Genomic DNA, 6,334 nt, shown 5'->3' with positions numbered 1-6,334 from the left:
ATTTAAAGTTTCTTCCTGAGTCACCCAAAATTTGTAAAAGGTTGGAATGAGGACGTGATAAGCTGAAGACAAAAAGGACTCTTTCTCCCAGCTGAAAGGCACCTTAGGCAATGGAGGTAACACAAGGGTGTGGAAGCTCACAACAAACCCCAGAGAAGAACTCACAGGGAGAGCTGCTTAACCCCCGGGGCACACAACACACAAGGGGTTCGTCACCCAGTGCCTTGAACTCCCAGAAATGTCTGGGTTTCTCTGAGGTAGGTAAGAGGGAAGAAGCTACTTGTAGGTGATACCTCCAGGAATAATCCCTACTAAGCAGCACACTGGACCCCAAACACTTTTCCCTTTTAGCCTTTGGGCATTTTAAAAGAGAATCCAAATTATGAGCAATTATCCATCTATAACCAAGCCCTCATTAAGCAATGCACCTTTGGAAACTCCAGCGGGGTTTATGTACAAGACTTATGGCGCCACCTCCTGTCGATAGTTGGAGAAATGGTCTTATTTGACCTAAGAAGATCCTAAATTACAATGATCAAAGAGAATTATCTTTGAAATAGCTAGATTAGTTTATTTATATGCACAATTTTAAAAAGCCAGCTATGGAATCAAATAAAATAATTAAGAGAGTTACTTCCAATGGCACCCAGAAGCATCCAAAAGAGGTTTTGACAGAATTCTTCCCTTAGAGGAAGAAAATAAAAAGCACTCTAAAACCATTACTGAATTTTAAAAAACACTGAAATGTCTTCTTCTCTCCCTGCTCCCCTGTCTCTCTAAGCCTCCTTGTCAGAACTACCCAGCCCTGATTGACCTTCTCCTCCTCCTCCTCCTGCCCCTCCTCCTGCTCCCACTGGTTTGGCTCCATTTCATCCAGCATCTGGTAGAGGGGAACCTGCTTTATCAATCATGATCAAACTTACAGGCATAGTTAAAAGAATTCCTTGATCTTCACCAGGTTCCTATTGGTTTTGCTAGGAAATTTGAATTAAATATCCAAGCTTATGACCCTAGTTATTCTGACTTCTAGCAACAGATTCACATGTTAGTAGCAAAAATTAAAGCTAAAGGCTGGCTAGACAAAGCTCACTGGAGAAATCTGTTAGGGATCTTCATAAATGTTCAGAAGAGGACCATAGACAGGCTTGAAGAACAGCAAAGGCTTTGCATCAGGCTATCTCCTCAGTTTTTCAGAGTAGTCAACTGGAACAAAATACAATATCAACAAAATTCAGATGAGTCAGTAATATACTTTGAGGGCTGTGGAAAAAATTTTAAAGAATATTTAGTTTTATCCGAAGAAAGCTGTGCTAATCATCGAAATGATACTCGACTCCAGTTTAACAAATGAGTTAGATGAATTGGAACTAACAATGAAAAGACAAAGTTGGGCCACTTCTGATACTCATGATTTGGTCAGTCTCATTGACCGGTTATCTGATACCTTAACTGAAGAAGAAAGAGAGAGGGAAGCCAAACAAAAGAGCGAGGCTAATACAATTATGAATTTACAATTAAAACAACTATTCACACAATTTTGGCCTTCACAATACCCCTAGAAACTCCCTAATGGACCTAACCTTCCACTTTGCAATTTTTGCAAAAAGCATGATTACTTTCAAAAGAGTTGCCAAAAATGAAAAAGGAAAGAATGTTAACCAGTGGAGGCAGAAAAGAAAACAGGGGTGCTCCAAGGAACTTAAAGGGGCCTTTCATTTCCTCCTTACTAACACTGGGAGAAATAAAAATTATTATAAATGGAGAACTAACACAAGCACTTATTGACACTGGAGCCACATTATCTGGAATTAATCCCATCTTGGTACAAGGTCCCATTCCTTGCAGTAAACAAAGAATTCAAATGGTGGGCATCACAATCCTCCTGTATTGGCATACCAATCTCAGCCTGTAACCTTTCAACAGTGTTCGTTACAAGGAACTCATGCCCTCCTCTTTGTTCCATCAGACCCCATCCATTCAACAGGAAGAAACTGCTTAGAATTATGTGATACCCACATTTCTTTCTCTCAAAGGAAGGAAATATATTTAAAATTAGATTATAAAACTCAACTTTGAGACACAACAGATATTTTAATAAAATTTTCAAAATCTAATCCAATTGCAATCCATATTGCCATGAAAGACAATGAATTATTGCTTAATGAAGAATTACAAAATGTACTAAAGACAGTACTTGATCCATTGTGGTCAGTGTCCTCCATTGATATAGAAACTATCATCTCAGCTACTCCAATAAATATTTAAATATACCCATGGAAACATCTTCAAAATACAAGACAATACCCCTTGAGAACTAAAGCTCTAGGAGGGATAAAGCTTATAATGTCAGATTATATAGAAAGATGACTGTTCATTCCTTGTACAAGCCATTGTAATACCCCAATCCTCCTGGTAAGAAAACCAAATGTTAGAGAATGGAGGTTTGTACAAGACTTGAGAGCAATAAACAACATGGCAATCCCATGGCACCCTATACTGCACAAGCCTATGTTACTCACAGCCATTCCTTCTAATGTGGAATTCCTTACAGTCATAGACTTATGTAGTACATTCTTTAGCATTCTTGTAGACAAAAATAGCCAATTTCTCTTTGCCTTCACTTGGGAAAACAGACAATACACTGGGTCACACAGGCCTCCAAGGATATGCTGAAAGCCTGACTTACTTTTCAAAAATATTAAAAATAGGCCTCTCAGATGTTAATTTCCTGGAAATGCATACATTAATCCAGTAAATAAATGACTTCCATCTTGGAGAGCAAACAAGATGTTCTGTGAATGATGGGCTACATTTATTACAAAAGGCAGCCCTAAGAAAACAAAGTCTCTAAAGAGAAACTTCAATTTTGTCGAAGACAAGTGATATACTTAGGCCACCTAATATCCAAGGAAGGATGTTTTATTAATTCAGACAGACTAGAAAGGATCTCAGCTTTTTACAACCAAGAATGAAGAGATGGTTGAGTGGGATTTTAGGACTGGCAGGATATTGTAGAAATTGGATTCCAAATTTTTATTTAAAAGCCCAATCCTTATATGCCCTCCTTTTTGTTTTTAAGACAGAGTCTCACTTGGCTAATTTTTGTATTTTTACTTGAGACGGGGTTTCACCATGTTGGCCAGGCTAGTCTTGAACTCCCGACCTTCATTGATCCACCCATCTTGGCCTCCCAAAGTCCTGGGATTACAGGCATGAGCCACTGCGCCCACCTTCCTTATATGCCCTCTTAATAGAGAACTTTAAACCCTCTAGACTGGATAAAAGAAAGTCAACTAACATTAGAAATGACTAAGAATGGTCTTGCCAATGCCTCTTCTTTGGGGCATGTAAATTATAACCTCACATTTTCATTGTTTGTACATGAAAATGATGGAAATGCTTTAGATAATCTGACTCAGAAACATGAAGGCTGAAATAGACCTGTAGGGCATTACAGCCAACAGTTAGGCCCGGTAGCCAAAGGATTGCCTCTTTGCATGAGAGATATAACAGCAACCACCTTGTTCATTAAGATGACCCAAGGAACTGTGGTGGGAACTCCCCTTACTGTTTTTATCCCTCATTCTGTGGAAGCATCACTAAACTCACACCACACTGGACATTATTCAATTAGTAGACGAGCTTCACATGAGTTTTACTTCTTTCAGCTTCTCCTATCACCATCTCCAGGTGTAACCTAAATCCTGACACTCTTCTGCCTTCATTTTCAGATGAAACACTGCATAATCACATAGCCCCAGTTGATTGGCTCCTCTTTCCTAGGACTGACTTGCAAGAGACTCCACTGATTAATGCTGATGTTGTTTGAGTTACAGGCAGCTCTTATTTAAAGGATGGATCAGGGACTTACCGAGCAGGTTACACAACAGTATCTTCAACTGAAGAAATAGAAAGGCTTACCTTCCAGAAGCCACCTCACATCAACAAGCAGAATTGCATTGATCAGGGTTTGTCAGTTGGCGAAAGGAATAATTGTTGATAATATTCATTACTAATATTCAGTAAATATGCTTTCAGAGTAGCTCATGATTTTGGAATGCTATGGAAACAGAGGATTTTTCACCTCTTCTGGTCAATCCATAAAAAATGGACACCTCATTTCACAATTGTTGGGAGCCATATTATTACCAAAGTCACTGGCCATAATTAAAATTCCAGGCCATTCTAAATCAAACACTCCAGAAAGCAAAGGAAATCAGCTAGCTAATAAGGTAGTAAAAAGAGCTACTGTAAATGTATCTAAACAAGAAAAATAATCTACAGTAATCTTAAAAGAAACACCTGCATTTGTATAAAATTACCTCAATCTGGGCTCCAAAACCAGAACATAAAAGTTGGAAAGCAAAGAGGGGGAACATACTCCCCCAAAGACGAGGTATGATATGGATCAAACAACATGCTTCTACTTCATGCTGAATTTTTGTTATCATTTCTAACTTATGCACATGACATAACTCCCCAGAGCCTGACAGAGTGATTGCTTGAGGGAAACGATATTTTGGAAACCTTCTCTGACTGTAGCACACAGGATGTACAGTTGTTACCTTTGCCCCCAAAATAATCCAGGGAGGCCTCTGTCAAAGTATGGCAATTACATTCCGTCCAGTTGCCGCTCTCACAAATATACACATATATTTTGGTAATGATTGGCATGTTTTCTCATTGGGTGCAGGTGTTTCTATGTAGAAGAGCAATGACCTTAGGGTGAGTACAATTCTCTTAGAAAACATTATTGCAGCCTGGGGAGTTCCTCTGGAGCTTCATAATGACAGAGACACTGGGATCACTGGATAAGTCATCCAACCAGTACGTTAAATTTGGCCCATTCTCCAGTATTTCCATTGTGTTGACCACCCCCAGTCATCTGGGTTAGTGGACCACACAAACAGAATAATCAAAGCTCAACTGGCAAAATTAATGGAGGTCTTTCAAATTCCTTGGCTAAAAGCTCTTCCACTGTTTCTGCTTAATCTGAGGTCGATCCCTTTTGGTAAACACCAGTTATCTCCATTAAAAATTACAGCAGGCAGATCTATAGCCTTTAATAGTAAAGGAGACATATTTAGCTATTGCAATGGCTTAATGAGGCAATTAACTAAAAATTATGAATCGGTAGAAGAATCTTTTCACAGTGAGCTCCTGGGAGAAGAAAACTTCAAAGACCATGGACTTGACCCACGAGATTTCATCTATTGGACACAACATTTCTTAAATAACTCTCTTCAACCAAAATGGTATAGACCTTATTGAGTACTGCCTGCTAAACTTTGTGCTGCTGAAGTAGAAGGCAGTTAACACTTCTCATCTAAAGAAGACTATTAGTTCGTTCTTGCATTGCTATGAAGAACAACTTGATACTGGGTAATTTGTAAGGAAAAGAGGTTTAATTGGCTCTTGGTTCTGCAGGCTGTACAGGAAGCATGGCTGGGGAGGCCTCAGGAAACTTTCAATCACAGTGGAAGGCAAAGGGGAAGCAGGCATGTCTTACATGGCCAGCAGGAGGAAGAGAACACAGGGAGGTGCTACACACTTCTTTTTATGAGATGGAGTCTTGCTCTGTTGCCCAGGCTGGAGTGCAGTGGCATGACCTCAGCTCACCACAGCCTCCTCCTCCCGGGTTCAAGTGACTCTCCTGCCTCAGCTTCCCAAGTAGCTGGGATTACAGGTGTGTGCCACCATGCCCAGCTGATTTTTGCATTTTTAGTAGGGACAGGGTTTCACCATGTTGGTCAGGCTGGTCTCGAACTCCTTACCTCAGGTGATCTGCCCACCTTGGCCTCCCCAAATGCTGGGATTATAGGTGTGAGCCACCCTGCATGGCAGTGCTACACACTTTTAAACAACCAGATCTTGTGAGAACTCAGTCACCATCACAGAACAGCAAGGATGAACTCCGTCACCATGATCCAATCACCTCCCACCAGGTCCCTCCTCCAACATTGGGGATTATACTTGGACATGAGATTTAGGTGGGGACACAAATTCAAACCATATCAAAGGCTGAGACTCTAGGTTGGACTTTTTCCCCAGAAGGTGACCTCTGACTCAAAATAGTTGATGCCAGGCAGAGAAAAAGATGGCATTTGACATAGACAGCTGAAACCCAAAATGCTAGACAAACATTTAATACTAAGTTGTTAATCTATGGAGAAGATTTTCTTTTATAAGCTTCCACTGAACTTCCTTCTAGTATCCTTAGTCCTTATGTGACGGCATGACTATCAGCCTGTTTTTGCAATGGGTCCCAGGCTGTGCTGGTAGATTACAAAATGACGCTTGCTGGATATGTGGTCCCTTTCCAGTGGGTCTGGCC

This window comes from Homo sapiens, chromosome 7 (assembly GCF_000001405.40).
Source record: "Homo sapiens chromosome 7, GRCh38.p14 Primary Assembly".
In the NCBI taxonomy this organism is placed as follows: Eukaryota; Metazoa; Chordata; class Mammalia; order Primates; family Hominidae; genus Homo; species Homo sapiens.
The sequence above is the reverse complement of the archived record's forward strand: the minus strand, read 5'-3'. Positions refer to the sequence as shown.